Here is a 22262-nt window from a genome sequence, read left to right on the forward strand (position 1 = left end):
TGTTATGTAGGTATACACATGCCATGGTGGTTTGCTGCACCCATCAACCCGTCATCTACATTAGGAATATTTCTCATAACGCTATCCCTCCCCTACCCCCAACAATCCTGCGACAGGCCCCGGTGTGTGATGTTCCCCTCCCTGTGTCCATGTGTTGTCATTGTTCAACTCCCACTTATGAGTGAGAACATGCAGTGTTTGGTTTTCTGTTCCTGTGTTAGTTTGCCAAGAATGATGGTTTCCAGCTTCATCCACGTCCCTGCAAAGGACATCAACTCATCCTTTTTTATGGCTACAGAGTATTCCATGGTGTATATGTGCCACATTTTTTTTTTTTTTTGGAGATGGAGTCTTGCTCTGTCACCCAGTCTGGAGTGCAGCGGCACAATCTTGGCTCACTGCAGCCTCTGACCCCCGGGTTCCAGTGATTCTCCTGCCTCAGCCTCCTGGGTAGCTGGGATTACAGGCGCACGCCACCACGCCCAGCTAATTTTTGTATTTTTAGTAAAGATGGGGTTTTGCCATGTTGGCCAGGGCTGGTCTCAAACTCCTGACATCAGGCGATCCACACGCCTCGGCCTCCAAAAGTACTGGGATTACAGGCGTGAGCCACCGTGCCCAGCCACCATATTTTCTTTATCCAGTCTATCACTGATGGACATCTGGGTTGGTTCCAAGTCTTTGCTACTGTGAACAGTGTTGCAATAAACATACATGTGCATGTGTCTTTATAGAATGATTTATAATCCTTTGGGTATATACCCAATAATGGGATTGCTGGGTCAAATGGTATTTCTGGTTCTAGATCCTTGAGGAATTGCCACACTGTCTTCCACAATGGTTGAACTAATTTACACTCCCACCAACAGTGTAAAAGCGTTCCTATTTCTCCACATCCTCTCCAGCTTCTGTTGTTTCCTGAATTTTTAATGATTGCCATTCTAACTGGTGTGAGATGGTATTTCACTGTGGTTTTGCTTTGCATGTCTCTAATGACCAGTGATGATGAGCTTTTTTTCATATGTTTATTGGCCACATAAATGTCTTCTTGAGAAGTGTCTGTTCATATCCTTCGCCCACTTTTTGGTGGGGTTGTTTTTTTCTTGTAAATTTAAGTTCTTTGAAGATTCTGGATATTAGCCCTTAGTCAGATAGACAGATTACAAAAATTTTCTCCCATTCTGTAGGTTGCCTGTTCACTCTGATGAGAGTTGTTTTTTTTTTTTTTTTTTTTTTTTTTTTTTTTTTTGCCATGCAGAAGCTCTTTAGTTTAATTAGATGCCATTTGTCAATTTGGCTTTTGTTGCCATTGCTTCTGTTGTTTTAGTCATGAAGTCTTTGCCCATGCCTATGTCCTGAATGGTATTGCCTAGGTTTTCTTCCAGGGTTTTTATGGTTTTAGGTCTTACGTTTAAGTCTTTAATCCATCTTGAGTTAATTTTTGTATAAGGTGTAAGGAAGGGGTCCAGTTTCAGTTTTCTACATATGGCTAGCCAGTTTTCCCAGCACCATTTATTAAATAGGGAATCCTTTCCCCCATTGCTTGTTTTTGTCAGGTTTGTCAAAGATCAGATGGTTGTAGATGTATGGCGTTATTTCTGAGGCCTCTGTTCTGTTCCACTGGTCTATCTGTTTTGGTACCAGTACCATAATATCTGTTTTGGTACCACTGCCATGCTGTTTGGGATACTGTAGCCTTGTAGGATAGGTTGAAGTCAGGTAGCATGATGCCTCTAGCTTTGTTCTTTTTGCTTAGGATTGAGTTGGCTATGCGGGCTCTTTTTTGGTTCCGTATGAAATTTAAAGTAGTTTTTTCTAATTCTGTGAAGAAAGTCAATGGGAGCTTCATGGGGACAGCATCGAATCTATAAATTACTTTGGGCAGTATGGCCATTTTCACAATATTGATTCTTCCTACCCATGAGCATGGAATGTTTTTCCATTTGTTTGTGTCCTCTCTTATTTCCATGAGCAGTGGTTTGTAGTTCTCCTTGAAGAGGTCCTTCACATCCCTTGTAAGATGTATTCCTAGGTATTTTATTCTCTTTATAGCAATTGTGAATGGGAGTTCACTCATGATTTGGCTCTCTATTATTGGTGTATAGGAATGCTTGTAATTTTTGCACATTGATTTTGAACCCTGAGATTTTGCTGAAGTTGCTTATCAGCTTAAGGAGATTTTGGGCTAAGATGATGGGGTTTTCTAAATATACAATCATGTCATCCACAAACAGAGACAATTTTGACTTCCTCTCTTCCTATTTGAATATCCTTTCTTTCTTTCTTTCTCTAGCCTGACTGCCCTGGCCAGAACTTCCAATACTATGTTGAATAGGAGTGGTGAGAGACGGCATCCTTGTCTTGTGCCAGTTTTCAAAGGGAATGCATCCAGCTTTTGCCCATTCAGTATGGTATTAGCTGTGGGTTTGTCATAAATAGCTCTTATTATTTTGAGATACGTTCCATCAATACGTACTTTATTGAGAGTTTTTAACATGAAGGGGTGTTGAATTTTATTGAAGGCCTTTTCTGCATCTATTGATAATCATGGTTTTTGTCATTGGTTCTGTTTATGTGATGGATTATGTTTATTGATTTGCGTTTGTTGAACAAGCCTTGCATCCGAGGGATGAAGCCGACTTGATAGTGGTGGATATGCTTTTTCATGTGCTGCTGGATTGGGTTTGCCAGCATTTTATTGAGGATTTTCGCATCGATGTTCATCAGGCATATCGGCCTGAAATTTTCTTTTTTTCTTGTGTGTCTGCCAAATTTTGGTATCAAGATGATGCTGACCTCATAAAATGAGTTAGGGAAGAGTCCCTCTTTTTCTATTGCTTGGAATAGTTTCAAAAGGAATTGTACCAGCTCTTCTTTGTACCTCTGGTAGAATTCAGCTGTGAATCTGTCTGGTCCTGGGCTTTTTTTTGGTTGGTAGGCTATTAATTACTGCCTCAATTTCAGAACTTGTTATTGGTCCATTCAGGGATTTGACTTCTTCCTGATTTAGTCTTGGGAGGGTGTATGTGTCCAGGAATGTATCCATTTCTTCTAGATTTTCTAGTTTATTTGCATAGAGGTGTTTCTAGTATTTTCTAATGGTAGTTTGTATTTCTGTGGGATCAGTGGTGATATCCCCTTTATCATTTTTTATTGTGTCTCTTTGATTCTTCTCTCTTTTCTTCTTTATTCGTCTGGCTAGCGGTCTATTTTGTTAATCTTTTCAAAAAACCAGCTCCTGGATTCATTGATTTTTGAAAGTTTTTTTGTATCTCTATCTCCTTCAGTTCTGCTCTAATCTTAGTTATTTCTTGTCTTCTGCTAGCATTTGAATGTGTTTGCTCTTCCTTCTCTAGTTCTTTTAATTGTCATGCTAGGGTGTCGATTTTAGATCTTTCCTGCTTTCTCTTATGGACATTTAGTGCTATAAATTTCCCTCTAAACACTGCTTTAGCTGTGTCCCAGATTAACTTTAAATGTAAGTGTGCTAAATATCCCAATTAAAAGACACAGACTGGCAAACTGGATAAAGAGTCAAGACTCATCGGAGTGCTGTATTTGGGAGACCCATGTCATGTGCAAAGACACACACAGGCTCAAAATAAAGGGATGGAGGAATATTTACCAAGCACATGGAAAGCAAAAAAAAAAGCAGAGGTTGCAATCCTAGTCTCTGATAAAACAGACTTTAAACCAACAAAGATCAAAAAAGACAAAGAAGGGCATTATATAATGGTAAAGAGATCAATGCAACAAGAAGAGCTAACTATCTTAAATATATATATGCACCCAATACAGGAGCACCCAGATTCATAAAGTTCTTAGAGACCTACAAAGAGACTTAGACTTCCACACAATAATAGCGGGAGACTTTAACACCCCACTGTCAATATTAGACAGATCAACAAGACAGAAGATAAACACGGATATTCAGGACTTGAACTCAGCTCTGGACCAAGCGGACCTAATAGACATCTACAGAACTCTCCACCCCAGATCAACAGAATATACATTCTTCTCAGCACATCACACTTATTCTAAAGTTGACAACATAATTGAAAGTAAAATACTCCTCAGCAAATGCAAAAGAATGGAAATCATAACAGTCTCTCAGACCACAGTGCAATCAAATTGGAACTCAGGATTAAGAAAACTCAAAACTGCACAACTACATGGAAACTGAACAACTTGCTCCTCCTGAATGACTACTGGGTAAATAAGAAATGAAGGCAGAAATAAGTAAGTTATTTGAAACCAATGAGAATGAAGACACAACATGCCAGATCCTGTCTCTAAAAAAAAAAACCTCAAAAGGATAAATAATCCTGTTTTAAAAATGGGCACAAGATCTGAAAGACATTTCTCAATAGAAGACATACAAAAGGCCAATAGGTATATGGAAAAAATGCTCAACACTACTATCATCAGGAAAATACAAATTAAAACCACAATGAGATACCATCTCACCTCAGTTGTAATACCTATTATAAAAAAGACAAAAAATAACAAGTGCTGGCAAGGATGCAGAGAAAGAGGAATGCTTCCACACTCTGTTGGTAGGAATGTAAAGTAGTATAGCCATTATAAAAAAACAAAAATAGAATATATGATCCAGCAATCCCAATACTGAATACATATTCAAAAGAAAGGAAATCAGTATATTGAAGTGATATCTGCATCCCCATTCTTATTACAGCCCTATTCACAACAGCCAAGATATGGAATCCACATGGACAATGTGGTATATATACACAATGGAATATTATTCAGCAACAGAAGAATGAAATCTTGTCAGCTGCAGCAACATGAATGGAACCAGAGGTCATTACCTTAAGTGAAATAAGCCAGGCACAGAAAGACAAATATGGCATGTTCTCATTCACAGTTAGGAGCTAAAAAAAGTGAATCCCATGGAAGTATAGAGTAGAGTGGTGGTTACCAGAGGCTGGGAAGGGAAAGGGTACAGGGCATAAATAGAAGTAGGTTAAGGGGTACAAAAATATAGTTAGAAGGAATAAGTTCTAGTATTTGATAGTACAGCAAGAAAATCACAGTTAATAATTTATTGCATATTTTAAAATGAGAATTGTAATGTTCCCAACACAAAGGAAAGAAAAGTGTTGGAGATGATATCCTAATTACCCTGATTTGATCATCACATATTGTATACAGGTATCACGTATACCTCAAAAATAAGTACAATATTTACATACCAATAACAAGTAAATCAATGAAATGAGTTACCTGACACAATGTCTTAAGAAACTCACAGTTATTAAGATTGAAGCCTATACTAAGAATACCAGTGAAGACACAACAAGCAGATCTCACTGTTTCCACTATTTTCAGTACTGTGAAGACAGATGCTCAATCTGATTTACCAAATGAAGAGGACGCAATCGGATATTCCAACTGGTCCTAGCGAAAAAATTTATATTAGACATTCCAACACATGCTTGCTTTATCTTGTGCTGGTTCAACCTACTAAACTGTTGAATAACCACTCTAGTCCTTTCTGCCTTCTTCTCTACTATGAGTGAGTATCCCTAACCTAAATGTTTAGGACCAGAAGAGTTTCAGATTTCATACTTTTTCAGATTTTGGAATATTTGCATTATACTCACTGGTTGAACATCCCAAATAAGAAAATACAACATCTGCAATGCTCCAACAAGTTTCCGTTGAACATCATATCGGCGCTCAAAAAAGCTGAGTATTTGGGAGCATATCGAATTTCAGATTTTCAGATCAGGGATACTCAACTTGTACCTTCTTCCCTAGCCCTGTATAATTTGCCTTCCCCAGCAATCATAGAAATTGATAATTCATCCAACTGCCTTTTTTTTAAAACAAAAACAACAACAACAAAAAACAAAGGGTTTGTGGCAACCCTGCATCGAGCGAGTCTATGGGCATCATTTTCCCAACAGCATATGCCCACTTTACCAAATGTGCTACATTTTGGTAATGCTCACAATTATTTCCAACTTTTTCATTATTATTATTTCTGTGATGCTGATTCATGATATTTGATATTTCTATTGTAACTGTCTTGGGGTGCCACAAATGGCACCCACGTTAAGAGAGCGAGCTTAGTTGATACGTGTGTGTCCTAACTGCTCCACCAACCCGCTGCTGCCTCATCTCTCCCACCTCTCCTAAGGCCTCCCTATTCAGAGACACAATAATACTGAAATTAGGCCAATTAATAACCCTACAATGGCCTCTAAGCGTTCAAGTGAAACGAACAGTCCCATTCCTCTCACTTTAAATCAAACGCTAGAAATGATTAAGCCTAGTGAAGAAAGCATGTCAAAAGCTGAAACAAGCCAAAAGCTAGGCTTCTTGTGCCAAAAAGCCAAGTTGTGAATGCAAAGGAAAAGTCACTGAAGGAAATACAAATGCTACTCCACTGAACACACAAATGATAAGAAAGCAGAACAGCCTTATTGCTGAAACTGAGAAGGTTTTGGTGGTCTGGATAGATCAAACCAGTCACAACATTCCCTTAAGCCAAAGACTAATCCAGAGCAAGCTCATCTTCAGTTCTATAAATTGAGGTAAGGTAGCTACAGAAGGAAAGCCTGAAGCTAGCAGAGGTTGGTTCATAAGGTTGAAGGAAAAAAGCCATCTCCACAGCATAAAAGTACAAGATGAAGCAGCAAGTGCTGGTGGAGAAGCTGCACCAAGTTGTCCAAAAGATCTAGCTAACATCACTGATTAATGTGGCTACACTAAATGACACAATGAAGAAGAAAGAGTCTTTTATTAGAAGATGCCATCTAGGACTTTGACAGCTAGAGGTGAAGTCAATGCTTAGCTTCAAAGCTTCAGAGGACAGGCTGTCTCTCATTAGGGGCTAATGCAGCTGGTGATTTTAAGTTGAAGCCAACACTCATTTCCCATTCTGCAAATCCTAAGGCCCTTAAGAATGATGCTAAATCCACTGTGCCTGTGGGAATTCAAGATAAGATTTGGGGGGGGACACAGCCAAACCATATGACAGCCCCTCAGAAGGGGCCAATTCTCCTGATGTCCAAATCGAGCCCTTTGCTAAGACCAGTTTCCACGGAAAAGAACACTTCAGTCTCTTGCCAGGATTCCAGAAGCCAAGGAGAGAGAAAACATGCCAAATTTCACTTAATTCTCAATTTTGAGTATAAGAATGCATTCAATATACCATGTTTTACCAGAATTTTTCCATAATAAAATACATGAAACTGGGCCGGGCACAGTGGCTCACGCCTGTAATCCCAGCACTCTGGGATGTCAGGAGTTTGAGACCAGCCTGGCCAACATGGTGAAACCCTGTCTCTACTAAAAATACAAAAATTATCTGGGTTTGGTGGCATGTGCCTGTAATCCCAGCTACTTGGGAGGCTGAGGCAGGAGGCAGAGGTTGCAGTGAGTCGAGATTGGGCCACTGCACTCCAGCCTGGGCAACACAGCGAGACTCTGTTGGAAGGGAAGGGGAAGGGGAAGGGAAGGGGAGGGGTGAAACTATACGCAGACAACCCACAGTAAGGATAATAATTTATTACAACAGCATTTCAACTCTTATGGCTTTGAAGACTTTAAGTGGTTAAGTATATCCCTCAGAATTTCAAGACTAAATTATCTCTACCTTGAGCCATTACGTACTTTCCATGAGTAAGACCCTATAGATTACAGGACAGCTAAAACTTCACCTAAATCCCCAAAATAAAATTTTAAAGCAAGCCCAATCTAATATTTGAGCCTACAACTGGAGAAGGTTAGAAATTTTACAGAACTAGCACATATCATGAAAAGCTTTATAGATGGTGACATCTGAACAAGATCTTCAAGAGGAGCAGTACCTGTCATTTAATAACAAGGACTGTGCTTAGCTCTCACAATTATACAACTCTTAAGTCACCACAGGTTCCATACCTGTAAAGTGGGAGTTGAAATAATAAATATAAAGTGTTTACCAAGATACATGAAACAAAGTTAGCATTCAACAGACAATAACAGTTGTTAAAGAAGGATGAACTGAATTTTCTAAGGCCAAGAAAAGGGGAGTTCAAAGTAGGAATATTCTTTAAACAGAAATCCACTGAGACCTTCCCATGGATCATTACTTAGTCCTAATCAACATCTTTCCTGTTACCCCTCATATCTTTATGAATGCTTGTCAAAAAAGGAAACAAAAGATAACTAACCTTACTATGGTAACATCTGGTATATTTGAAATGTATTCATAATCCAATAACCAAATTAGACACAAATCTTCCTTTAAAAATTTCTCCTAAAGCTTGTCCTATTAAAAAAAATATGGGTTTTTTTCTAAACTGAAAATCTATCATGAGTATACAACTCCATTATGAAGTTACATAAAAGTTAAAATAAGAATATACAATAGTCAGGGGCTGTTACCATCTCATTGATTCTGCCAATTTTACAAAACAGTAAGATTTTCACAGTCAAAAAGCAGTATTAACATATATGATATTCTAACAGTATTTTGTTTCTTAGAAAAATAAAAGAGTGGGGGAGGTAACAAAACAGACCTTGAAGGAAATACAACACTCTAGCATCACCCACAGAACATCTCCCTCCCTGGTTAACAAGGTTCTGGATTTTTCCCTTGCCTTTTTTTTTAATATGAAAGACTACACACATCTCTCAATATAACAGTTTTTGGCCAATATAAATTTGTATCTTCAAAACTTCGTACATAATTTTAAACAAAAGTATGTATGGAAAAGTCTCAAGTTACAATCCAAGTAAAATTTGTAGGACTTAATCTGTAGGGTCTCATAATCACAGTTTGAAAAGGAGGCCAAAAATCAGAATATTAAGGGACTCCAACCCTTGAAAGTGACTGCTATAGAAGTCTTTCTTCTACAGATACCCTAATGCTTCCTATAACCCCAAACAAAGAAATTAAGAATACAGCGAATGGGGATGTAAACAAAGCTCTAATTTCCCATTTTCCTACTCTAAATCATCAATCACTGAAAGAACATCATGAAATCTTCCCAGCTCTATAGTCACATGAAGTGACTGGACATCTCAGTAACTTCTTGGCCTGAATTGCCCCATTCTCTCCAAAACCATCTGCCCCATTCCCTGACCAATTACACAGACTGCTTCAAGCTCTTTACCTCCTTCCCCAACTTTCTAAAGGCCTCAAATCCCACTTCATAATTATAGGTTTGTTTGACACAGGGTCTTGCTCTGTCGCCCAGGCTGGAGTGCAGTGGGGTAATCACGGCTCACCGCAGCCTCAACCTCCTTGACTCAAGCAATTCTCCCACCTCAGGCTTCCAAGTAGCTGGAACTACAAGTGTCGCACCACTATGCCCAGCTAAATTTTTTTTTTTTTTTTGTATTTTTTGTAAAGCCGGAGTCTTGCCATATTGCTCAGGCTGGTCTCAAACTCCTGAGCTCAAGCAATCCACCCACCTCAGCCTCCCAAAGCACTGGGATTACAGGCGTGAGCCACAGCACCCAGCACTTTCTTTTTTATTGTAGGTTTTTGTCTGCCTTTTTTTTCTGGCAATTTTATTTCATGGTATATTGTTTTATCATACATTGTAATATTTAGTGAAGAGCCGGCACATTTTCCACATACAACTGTTAACCATATTGTCTGGTAATCAGGAAACCATGTTTTAAATCTTTTCAATCTTACATTTTAGATTTTGTTCACATCTAGTCTTTTCACTGTTTTTTTAAGAAACTGGTTTAATGTTTTCTGCTGATGTATATAATTTTCCCTTTGCAAAATAGAAAAATGCTTGATTTTCAGAAATGCAATGTTAAGTGGGAGACACATTGATAGTCTGATTTTAATAGTATAATTTATAAAATACACAAATCCTAAAGTGAACAGCTCAATGACTTTTAAAATACACATACATACATATGTGTGTACATTTATCTCCATCCTTATGACTACCACCCTAGACCAAGACACAGAACATTTCCATCAATGTTTTATCTTCATGTCCCTTTCTAATTAATACTACCCCACCGAAAGGGCTACTATTGCTATCACTATAATGTTTTTCTTAAACTTTACATAATTAATCATATACATAAACGTAAAAAGGGAACATTTTCCAACTTATTTTATTAGAACACCAGTACCTTGATAAGAAAACCTGATAAAACGATTACAAGGAAAAAAATTACAAACAGATATCCCTCATAAACATAGATACAAATAATCTGCACAAAGTATTATCAAATTTAGCTATATCAAAATAGAATAGGCCAGGCGCGGTGACTCATGCCTATAATACAAGCACTTTGGGAGCCTGAGGCAGGAGGATCTTCTGAGGCAAGAAGTTCAAGAACAGCCTAGGCAACAAAACGAGACCTTGGCTCTACAAAGAAATAACCAAAATTTTAAAATTAGCCAGGTATGGTGGCACGCACCTGTAGTCCCAGCTACTCAGGAGGCTGAGGCAGGAGGACTGCTTGAGCCCAGGACTTCAAGGATACAGTGAGCTATGATTATGACACTGCATTCTAGCCTGGACAACAGAGTAACACTCTGTCTCTATAAAAGAAAAAAAAAACAAAAAAACAAAAAAATCAGGATAATATGTCATGATAAAGTGGGGTTTATCTCAGCAATGCAGGTTGTTTTAACATTAAAAAAAAATTCATACTTGAGTACAGTGGCTCGTGCCTGTCAGGTACTCAGGAGGCTGAGGCAGCAGGACTTCTTGAGCCCAGGAGCTTGAGATCAGCCTGGGCAACGTATTAACAGCAAGACCTCATTTCTCAAAAAATAAAGATAAATACAAATTTTAAACACTATAATTCATCACATTATAAAAATTAAAACAGAAAAACTCATATGAGCAACTGAATAGATGCAGAAAAAGCATTCGACAAAAATCAACACCCTCTCATAATAATAAAAAAAAGAAAAAAAACCTCTCAGAAACCTAAGAATTGAAAGGAACCTTTTTCAATTTGAAAAAGGATATCAGCTGGGCACAGTGGCTCATGCCTGTAACCCCAACACTTTGGGAGGCCGAGGCGGGCGGATCACAACATCAGGAGTTCGAGACCAGCCTGGCCAGTATGGTGAAACTTTGTCTATACCAAAAATACAAAAATTAGACGAGCTTGGTAGTCCCAGTTACTCGGGAGGCTGAGGCAGGAGAATAGCTTGAACCTGGGAGGCGGAGGTTGCAGTGAGCCGAGATCGTGCCACTGCACTCCAGCCTGGGCGACAGAGCAAGACTCTGTCTCAAAAAAAAGAAAAAAGAAAAAGGATATCCACAAAAACAAAACAGACAAAACTAGAGTTAACAAACTTAACACTGAACATGTTCTCCCTAAGGGGGAAAAAAGGGGAAATCTGTCTCCTCTCACCATTTCTCAACACTATAATAGAGGTCCTGGTCAAGGCAAAGACATAGATGAAGATATAAAGGTCAGAAAAGAAAACTATTTTTATTTGCCAGTAACACATTAACAGATTTATTTTGATTTTCTATACTCAGATCACCAGAACTAATAAGCGAATTTATAATAAGGCCAAAAGATAAACTAATAGGACAATCTATTTCTATATACTAGGCCAAGAATTGTAAAATTAAACTTTTTTTTTTTTTTTTTTGACAGAGTCTCACTCTGTTGCCCAGGCTGGAGTGCAATGGTGCAATCTTTGCTCATTGCAACCTCAACCTCCCAGGTTCAAGTGATTCTTGTGCCTCAGCCTCCTGAGTAGCTGGGTCTACAAGTACACGCCACTACACCCAGCTAATTTTTGTATTTTTAGTAAAGACAGGGTTTCACCATGTTGGCCAGGCTGGTCTCGAACTCCTGGCCTTACGCAATCTGCCCAGCTCAGCCTCCCAAAGTGCTGGGATTACAGGTGTGAGCCACTGAGTCCAGCCAGAAAATTAAACTTAAAAGCCAAAAATTATTATTTACAATATCATCAAAAAACACCCAGACCACCACATTAAGATCTATCACACATTGCTTAGAAAAATTAAACAAGACTTAAATAACTGGATATACAATGTTCATTACTGTATTGTTCAATATTGTTCATAAGTCAATTCTCCCAAATCAATCCATAGATTCAACACTGCCCCAATATTTAAAAAAGGAAAATATATTAATTCAACTTATAAACTGCTGAGACTTCCTATCCACAAGCCAACAAATTCAGTTGAACACTGTAATCAATAACAAAGAAATAACCAAAATCTATGAGAATAAGAACGTGGAAAATCAACCAAAGGTATCACCAAATGAACCAAAGATTTCATTACTGTTTTAGTCAAAGAAAAAATTTACTAATCATTGGGTTCAACGTCAAACTTCTATAAAACACTTAAAATGACTCATTTTATACAGTTTTTAAGAAAGGTATAATATAAAATAAAAATACAAATGTATTTTAGTTTACTTTTCTAGGTAAAGAAGTTAATATACACCTAAATCCAACTCTAAAATTATGTGAGCTACGAATCAATGACATTATAAAAATGTATGCAAATAATGTTCAAATGCAAAATTAAAATATTCAGGGATAACTGTTTTAAAGTTAGATTTTTCTCTAACTGAAAACTGTTAAAAAAAATACAGAAAACCATTGAATTTACAATAAATTCCTTGCAGTTTAAACAATTATAGATGAATCTGAAATCAAAGATTTGTGAACACTTTACAAAAATCAGCATCACTAACCCTTAAAGAACCAAGTTTTGGGTTTTTTTTTTTTAATCTTTTATTTTAGGTTCAGGGGTACACATGAAGGTTTGTTATAAAGGTAAACTTGTATCACGAGGGTTTGTTGTACAGATTATTTCACCATCCAGGTATTAAGCCTAGCACCCAAGAGTTTTTTTTTTTGCTTCTCTCCTTCCTCCCTCCACCCTCAAGTAAATCCCAGTGTCTGTTGTTCCCTTCTTCGTAGAACAAGTGTTTTTTTAATTTCCACAAAAATCTCCATCACTCTCTCATTTGCTTCTAACGACTGAAACCTCTGTTGCTCCCAGAAGACAAGATTTAATTCATTTATCCGTTTAAAGTAAGAGTCTACCAGCCAGGAGTGGTGGCTCACATCTATAATTCCAGCACTCTGAGAGGCCGAGGCGAGTGGATCACATGAGGTTGGAAGTTTGAGACCAGCCTGACCAATATGGAGGTCTTATCTCTACTAAAAACACAAAATTAGCCGGGCATAGTGGTGCATGCCTGTAATCCCAGCTACTCGGGAGGCTGAGGCAGGAGAATCGCTTGAACCCGGGAGGCAGAGGTTGCGGTGAGCCGAGATCACGCCATTGCACTCCAGCCTGGGCAACAAGAACGAAACTCCAACTCAAAAAAAAAAAAAAAAAAAAAAGTCTACTACGTCTTAGGCACTGGGAATGCAGCAATGAGCAGGACAGATAGGATTCCCTTGTCTCATGGGGTGTACATTTCACTGAGGGACAGCAGCTAAACCAAAGAAGTAAATAAATAAACCGTCAGGTATGTTAGATAGTGGTTAAGAGCAAATAGAAAAGACAGAACAGGGATGGGGGTACAGTGATGGCAGGAGGATGAGTCCATTTTAAATTGTTTGATCGGGCTGGGTGTGGTGGCACACACCTGTAATCCTAGACTTTGTGAGGCCAAGGTGGGAGGATTGCTTGAGCCTAGGAGTTTGAGACCAGACCAGATGACACAGCAAGACCAAGCCACATACATACATAGGTACACACATACATACATACATAGGGTGATCAAAGGAGGACACATTTTAGGGTTCCCATATAATTTATTGCCCAAACCAGGACACTTAGGAGGCTGGGAGTGGGAATGCTAAACACATGGAAGACCCAGTCAATAAGCATAATATGGGGCATGCTGTTATTCTCCTTCACTTAGAAGGTCATATTTGGGCAAAAACCCCATATCCAGGCCGGGCACGGTGGCTCACGCCTGTAATCCCAGCACTTTGGGAGGCCAAGGCAGGCAGATCACCTGAGGTCAGGAGGTCAAGACCAGCCTGGCCAACATGATAAAACCCGTCTCTACTAAAAAAAAAAATTAAAAAATTTGCAGGCTGTGGTGGTGGGTTCCTGTAATCCCAGCTACTTGGGAGGCTGAGGCAGGAGAATCACTTGAACCTGGGAGGTGGAGGTTGCAGGGAGCCAAGATCACGCCACTGCACTCCAGTCTGGTGACAAGAGCAAAACTCGGTCTCAAAAAACAAACAAACAAACAAACAAACAAACAAGAAACCTATCCACTGACAGCTCTAAAATTACATACAAAGAGGAAAAAATTGGGCAAAACTAGCAGTCTCTTCCCCAAATACTAATAATGAGGACCAGAAAAAGAATATGAGAAAAAGTTTAATACCCACTGCCTTATGTTTGTGGATGAGTTGATGTTACTAATATTCAAAAATAGAAATGAAAAGGGAGAGTTCACCAGTCTTTCTGTTAAGACATCTGTTGAGAGAACCAGAATGAGGCATGTGTTTCCCACAGGAGGATATTTAAAGGCTGATTCACTCCTCTCATGGAGCTATTTTTAAGGAATGTGGATTAGGATAGATCGGCAAACTGTGGCTTGTTTCTAGTGGGCCTCACTTTTAACCCATGCCTGTGTCTCTGGTTAAACCACCACCTCGTAGGCACGAAGAACTGGAAAGATAGCCATAACCCCGTATTCACTCTGTTCCAGCCACAATGCCATTTTCCCAGCAAGAGCCTTTGCTCTACCTATACAATCAACTTGGAACTTTCTTTTCCCAAGTATCCACTTGGCTAACTCCCATATTTCCTTCAGGTCTTCAATAAAATGCACCTTTTCAATGCAGTCTACACATAGACATTCTATATAAGACTGTCATCTGACCTCACCTTCACTGTAACACTTAACACCTTCTATCACACTAACCAATTTACTTACTTACTTGGTTCTCATTAAATATCTGTGGAATGAATGAATGAATAGTACGCAAACATCTGAGAGTAGAAGACATGGTACATATATCAAAATGCAAAAATTACACAAAAAAGAAAATTCCGTTATGATCCTACCATTTTTCTATTTGGGTGTGTACGGCATATTGATTAAGAATACAGGCACTGCAGTTAGATTCCCACTGTTCAGAATCTTGCTCTGCCTTTTATTTTAGCTGAGCAACAATTGCCAAGTTATTTAATCTCTCAGTACCTCAATTATCGCATCTGGAAAATGGGGATAATGATATTTCCTATCTCAGAGAGCTTACAAACATTTGTGAGAATGGAATAACATGTATGTTTTTTGTGCATGTTTAATGCACAGAACACAGCATGGCATGTAGTATTTCTGAATAAATTTTAGCTATTACTATAAGAAGCACAGCTCTCTTTTAAAATGCCATGATTTGAGGTAAAGCAGAAAGAAACTGTAAAATTGACCAGGTGTGGTGGCTCACACCTGTAATCCTAGCACTTTGGGAGGCCGAGGTGGGTGGATTACTTGAGGTCAGGAGTTCGAGACCAGCCTGGCCAACATGGTGAAACCCTGTCTCTACCGAAAATACAACAATTAGCCAGGCTTGGTGGTGCACGTTTGTAATCCCAGCTACTTGGGAGGCTGAGGCAGAACTGCTTGAACCAGCCTGGGCGACAGAGCAAGACTCTGCCAGGAAAGGACAGGAAAGGACAGGAGAGGGGAGGGGAGGGCAGGGGAGGGCAGATGAGAGGAGAGGAGAGGAAAAAGGAAAGGAAAAAGGAAAGCATTCATTCATTTATTAGCCACCCACTATGGGCAGAGTGCTATGTTAAACCCTGGATAAATACTTTTACTCTAAGAGAAAAAAGAAAACACAAACTCAATGAAATTAGAATGGCCAAAAGTTTGACATGGAAGATTTATTTCTGACAGCTGAATGATCCTAAAACTAGATTTACCTACAAAACACTGTATTAATCACAAGATTTTAGCTCTGAAAGAGCCTTTTAAAATCAAATCTAACCCTACAAAGAATTTATTCATTCATTAAAGTAATAATCATTTATGTCAACTATTTGTCAAGAAGAAAAAAAACTGACATTATGTCTGTGAAGTTTACAGTCTAATAGAAGACAGAAATCCAAAAAAGTAAAATATATAATGACAAATCACAGTAAGTGCTATACAAGACCAGAAGAAAAGGATATAGGAGGGGACACTAGAGAAAACTTGGTTTAGACTGACAGGAATGAGAGCACTGGAGTGAGATTCCCACAGTAATTTTTGCATTTTAATGTCAGTACCATGCATTCTACTCTTAGGTATTTTTCTGTGCACACTAGTCATTGATTCATTCAACAAATATTTAACAAACACCTAGTATGTGCCAAGCATATGGCAGTGAGCAAAAGATGAAGACACCTGCTTCCTCATCGAGCTCATTTAAGCTGAGACCGAAAAGGTTAAGTAGGAGTTGGCTAGTCAGAGAATGCAGAGATGATGGTTCTAGGAAGGTGCAACAGAAGGTATAAACGCCTGAGAGGAAGAGTTCGGGGTGTTTGAGGCACTGAAAAGCCAAAATAATTGTGCTATTAATGAGCAAAAGGACAACGGCCCAAAGCTGGAGAAATCAAGAGATCAGATCAGGATTTAACAACCAAATATCTGACACTCTTTAGTCCTTCCTAGCCTTTCAAAAACATGAAATAAATAATGTAAAAACTGGTATAATCAAATAACTTCCCAAACAGGGCTTTCTGCATTTGATAGTCTTGCAACCTAAAATACCACTGTGAACATTTACATTTAATTCAATATTCTGAATCAAAACTGTCTTTAAACCTAGAAAATCATGATGTAGTTGAACCCATGTTAAAACAAAGTCCTTTTTAATACTTTAAAATATAATCTTCCTTGGATGGGACCTAAGGTGGATTCTTTACACCAAATTCAACCGCACAGTGAGCTTGGTTCAAACACCCCAGAAGGCTTTAAGGGTACCTTAAAGGTTTCAGTTCAAGGTATATAAATATAGTCTGCTCTATTATTTTTAGCTTGTCCTGGTATTTTATGTGTCTTCTTAAATTGGGACACTGCTGTGCTTTTTGAGGTTAATGTGACTGATAAAATCAAATGTGTGGTTTAGAATGTCTAACTGCAGATAGAGATTTGTATATTCTTTGGATTTGAGCTTTTCACTGTGTCTTTATCTACAAGTTGTAACTTTTATACTTGAATATAACCAATTCAGCCAATTCCTATACACCAACATCTTTGTCCTTATCACACAGATAAAAATTAACCAGCATAACAACAAGGTTTCCTGCCTCCCTGTCCTGGTACAAGAGTAACATGAGGGGAGAGAGAGGAAGTTTACTAAGATAGTTACACACTGGGCAATCACAATGGAAGCAGTGTGTGCAGCACCAGGAAGGAACAGGATGACAGCTCCCAGGTTTTGTCAGAACCTCCTCTGAACAACTGGAAAGCAAAACCATGTATATGAGGAGATGGCTTGCTGCAGCCCTACATATGAAACTGATTCTGACCCTTAACACTATCCCTACCTTTTCCCATCTTTTATACGTGTGAGCTCTGTTCCCTCTCACCCAACCCTAACCTCTATCATAATGCATATTTCAGTTAAAAATAGTTGTACTCATTTGCTCTGACAGCCAGCAAACTTAATTGAAAAATAAGTTGTTTCCATCAATCACTTTGGGGTGAGCAAAAACACTATAATCTCTTTTCTTCCAAAGTTCACGGTTTTAAAGTCACACTGAATAAAAAGAAATCCAGTAGCTGATAATTTAATATTCTGTTGGTACTGGATGTGTAGATCTTGAATACAGCTTAGGCTTTGTGAAGGAAATCAGAGCCTTAGTGTTAATCATCAGTGCTAACACAATGTTATCATACAATGGAGGTGGCAATATGCAAACGAACCCCAGCAAATCCAGGAAAAGACCAAAATTTTCAAGAAGTATAGAATTCTTTGGCTCTGAACACTATTAGTCACACTCACTTATACTATACATTTCTGATGCTCAGAAACTAAAATTTTAAAAAGTTCCCATTCCCAAAGCCCTTTAAAATCCAAGAGTGTAAATTTAACTCAGCAAAATATTTACTCTGAGTATCTAATTACATAATCAAGTGAACAAAATGAATACTAAAATAGTTCTAATATCACGTTTTGTAAATGTTTAAAAGCCTAGGAAAGAATCAATAGATGTCAGCAACAACTAAATAAAAGCGATTTTAATGGTGAAACTGTAGTTTGGTGCTAACTTGGTTTAGTACCCAGTGGTACTAAAATTTTTACCCTGAAAACTAAAATCAATCAGTCTATACCTCTACTCATAAAACTGCAGCCTTTTACAACAGTGCAGCTTCCTCCTTTTAAAAATCTTTCCTAAGGGAGTAACATGACATTTAAATATATTAGAAATAATAACAAAAAATATTTATTATATTCTTCATTAAGAACTTTATTTCCTAACTTAAATATTTCTACTACTCTAAGCAAAACAGCTGATTTGCTTTTAGTCAAGCACCAATTACATAGCATTTTTAACTTCTAAATATGTTTCCCAAATACTGTCTTGAATGTTACAATGAAAATGCTATTATTTTATATTTACATTTTTATGTGAACAAAAACCCTAACAACATTAAAGAAGAAAATTGTTTATGTATGGTATTCCTAAGCCCACCTTACAATAATACCGAGTTTCAAATTGAATATACAATCTTTACAGTGAGTAAAGAAAACTAATTTTTAAAATAAGAAAATACATGTTACTCTTATTTCCTACAACCCTGTTTAAGTTAAAATTCCTCTTTATTCCTTAAAAACTTCCATATTACAGAATACAGATGTCTTAAAAGAAAAAAATAAAACTATTGAGACATAGGACAGAGCATTAAAAGATAGCTTAATGCACTTAAAATTCATTTCCATAAAAAATATTTTCATTTGCTATTTGAAAAGCTATCTAATTGGTTTTATGTAATAGCTGTAAACCCATACCAAATCTATTTCCATTTTTCCTTAAATTTAACTGTAAATATATTGAAATAAATTCTGAAAAACATTTATCTACCTTTTCGGTGCAAAAGCATGAATTCAAATAAAACGGAACATATTTTTAAGTTATTTATACCTTTAGCCCAACACACTGGAAATGGACTACATCCGCTTTTCTCCATATAGATGGCACCTGCTGGTTTCAGGGCCTCTTGGCCTGCCAGTTCCAACAACATACACCCAATCCTATAAAGATCAAGCCAGGAGTCTGCACACAAAGTCCCAGTTCCTCGCTGTGATAGTATTTGCTTCGATCCACAAGCAAGACTAAGGTTCCCCTGTGTGCTCCTTTTTTCAGAGCTTGAAGCAAAATTTGGAAGGTGTTCCTTCTGTAATATTTTCCAGCAGCTTGAAGAATGCCTCTCAGTTACAGAATCTTCTCATGCTTCCGCAATCTGAAACACAGACCATCCTGGCTAGATCAAGCTACTGAACAGAATGAAACCAGCTTAGTAATGTGACCCCATGGCTCTGTGTTCCTAGATTCATTCAGGGAAGGAGAAAGAGGGAGGGAAAAGAGGGAGGAGAAAAAGAAGGCCAGTAGCCAGTAACTTATTAATATGCTAATCTCACCCTTCTGTTCAATTCATCCAGCAGTCTTCTGTTTACAAAACTGACAACCGATTCTAAAATTGAGTAAGCTGCAAATCAAGTCTGACCCAGATCATGTCTGTAGATGGCTTCTCAAACCTTTTTTGTTTTCAAAGTCATGCCTTTGTCATTTTACTAACCTAATTCTTTATGACCTTAGAGTTAAAATAATTACTTTGATGAAATAAAAATCCTTTCTGGAAAAAAATTCCTGATCTATCTATGTCTCTATGTCTATAGGTACCCAAATATTTTTGCTGTAAAATATTTTTCCTGGTTGGTACTGTCATAGTAAGTGTATAAATTTTAAAAACTCTCTCGAAAACATAAAATCAAGAATTTGAGGTAGCCACATTCTTTAACATTAGCTTAGGGAATATTGAGGTATCCAAGAGGCATGATTTCCTTTCTTCGTTTCAAAACATAAGTGAGTAATAAACTCATACTAAAGAAGACAGACAGAAAACACCCTTACAATCTGTACTAGCAACTTTTTAAAATGCAGAGCTACTTAGTTTTTCCATTCAAACTGTGAGACAGTCAAGGTCATCTCAAAAATTTAGCTGTCTGAACACATTCCACTTTAGCAGTAAGATAATTAGTAACTAGGCTCCTGGTGCCTTTGTTCTCCGAATGTACATAAGACACACTGAGACTCTACAGTTCTAGCTTTCCTAAATGTGGGTAATTTTGTTAGTAGTACATTTGTATAAACCAATCAAAAATCAAGTATTTTACTTAACAGTGAAAATGACCGAGGCTTTGTTTATGAAGTCACTAACTTCTGAAAACAATAGCTTAACAAAGGCTGAGGAGAACAAGAGGCTTATTTGTGTCCAGTGATGCCCCAGGACAGTTGTTTCATTTCTAACATGCTACTCTTGATGATGGCTTTGTCTCTAGGTTTACTTTCAGGCTCCTAATAGTAGCCAGAGTTCAAGTGACCTCTTCTATGCTCCACTGAAAACATATCATTCACCAGCATGAACTCTGACCCCAGGGAACACTGGGAAGAAAGGGGCTCCAGAAAAACATGAGCAAGCTAGGAAAAGAACAGAGGAAACAAGCAACTAGATCAACTAGAATACATGAAAAAATATCCCCAGCCTCCACCATTATACTAAGAGACCAAGACTGTAAAGGACCACTGTCATGATGGGAAGGATAAGAGCACATCCACCAGCAAGCATATCTGACACACTCCTGTGAGAACGGACTGGAGTTTAATCTGAGCCATCGACTAATGGACTGTACAAATAATCCAAGCACACTGAGTCCATCTTGGAACTTACGGCTCTCAAAAGTTACAAAATAAAAGCTACCTTCATTAGTAACCTACAATTATATTCTACACACTAAGTACTGATTACAACTAATTTTCACATCTTTTAAACAAACTTGGTATTACAATTCTTTTAAAAATGAGAGCACTAAGACTAAAGACAGGGTCATAGACTAGGAAGAGGTACAGGAGTTACCAAGCCCACTCGGTCATCTACGATGCCAGGGTCTTCACACCACAGCACACCACCCTACCACAGGAAGGATTTTTTAGTCAGACTGAACACCTGCCACAGGACCAGGTGAGCAGGAGAGAGAGTGGTGTAAGCACAGGGTGGTGGTGACTGGAGCTAATGCAGTCGCAGTGACAGAGAGGATGAGAGGACAAACAAGAAAAGTGATGGAGAGAATGAGGGAGAGGGATGAACCTGGTTTCTGTGACTTTAAAGTGACCAGTAGATGGGGGCTTTCTCTCCTACCCCTGCAACTACTTCATAATTTATTTCAATATCCAAATATCATCTCCTAATGTGCAAGATCTTGAGAGTATAGGAAGATGTTAAGATATGAAAGAGCATAAATTCTCCAGGCCAGAGACCAAGGTGACTAAGTAGAGACCAGATTGAAACAGCAGCTATGGAAATGTTAGGAACCAACTCATGCCACAGAGAAGAGCTGAAGAGGATACAGGTGATACTGCTAATAATAACCTATACCTTTTATCAAGCAACTATAGCTGTATATAAAATAACTGCATTTAACCCATAACACAATCTCAGTGAAGCAGCTACTTCCCTATTTTCATAGAAGATGAAAATGAAGTTCAGAGAGGCCAAGCAACTTGCCCAAGGTCAAAGAGCTGCAAAATGAGGCAAGTACTGGCTAGTTTGGTGATACAGAGTTTTATTATTTTCTTCCTGCTAAATATTAAAGACAAACTATGCTTTTAAATTCCTAATCCAGTGACATCTTGAAAAGAACAGAAACAGACTACAGTTAATGGCAACATAAGTGAAAAAGCGTAAGCAGTCCTCTATATTCCCTTATTTATGAATTCTACATACTAATATAAAAGCCAACCACTTATTTAAAAGTTCTGTGACCTTTACACCAACCTCTTTTAGTACTGGCATATTTTAAAGCAATTCTGGTAAATCCTACTTGAAAAGTAAACTCTTATCTTTACCTTCCAGATATAACCAGAATACATGTATTTCTCACCACATCTCCTGGCCTCACCCCGGCCCAGGCTGCCTGGATTACAGCCATAGGCCTCCTACCTGGTCTCTCTGCTCCAGCTCTCACCGCCCTACACTCTATTCACAACCCTTCTGAGTTGTGCACTGATCCTTCCAAAACATCA

At 38.2% G+C, this 22262-nt stretch overlaps 1 protein-coding gene across 175 annotated transcripts in view; it reads right to left on the reverse strand.

Moving 5' to 3' along the window:
- The window catches only part of PTK2 (protein tyrosine kinase 2), a 344180-nt gene that overhangs the window by 243811 nt on the left and 78107 nt on the right, over positions 1–22262 (reverse strand). For 18 of the 175 annotated variants that reach the window (XM_047422021.1, XM_047422047.1, XM_047422037.1 and 15 more), the window contains one exon: positions 19104–19422. The exons of the other annotated variants lie outside the window; for them this stretch is intronic. In XM_047422021.1, the coding sequence (XP_047277977.1) occupies positions 19104–19203 (100 nt within the window). In that variant the 5' untranslated portion in view covers positions 19204–19422. The remainder of the gene's footprint in view (positions 1–19103; positions 19423–22262) is intronic. 175 annotated transcript variants of the gene reach the window in all.

Source organism: Homo sapiens, chromosome 8 (genome assembly GCF_000001405.40).
Source record: "Homo sapiens chromosome 8, GRCh38.p14 Primary Assembly".
Lineage (NCBI taxonomy): Eukaryota > Metazoa > Chordata > Mammalia > Primates > Hominidae > Homo > Homo sapiens.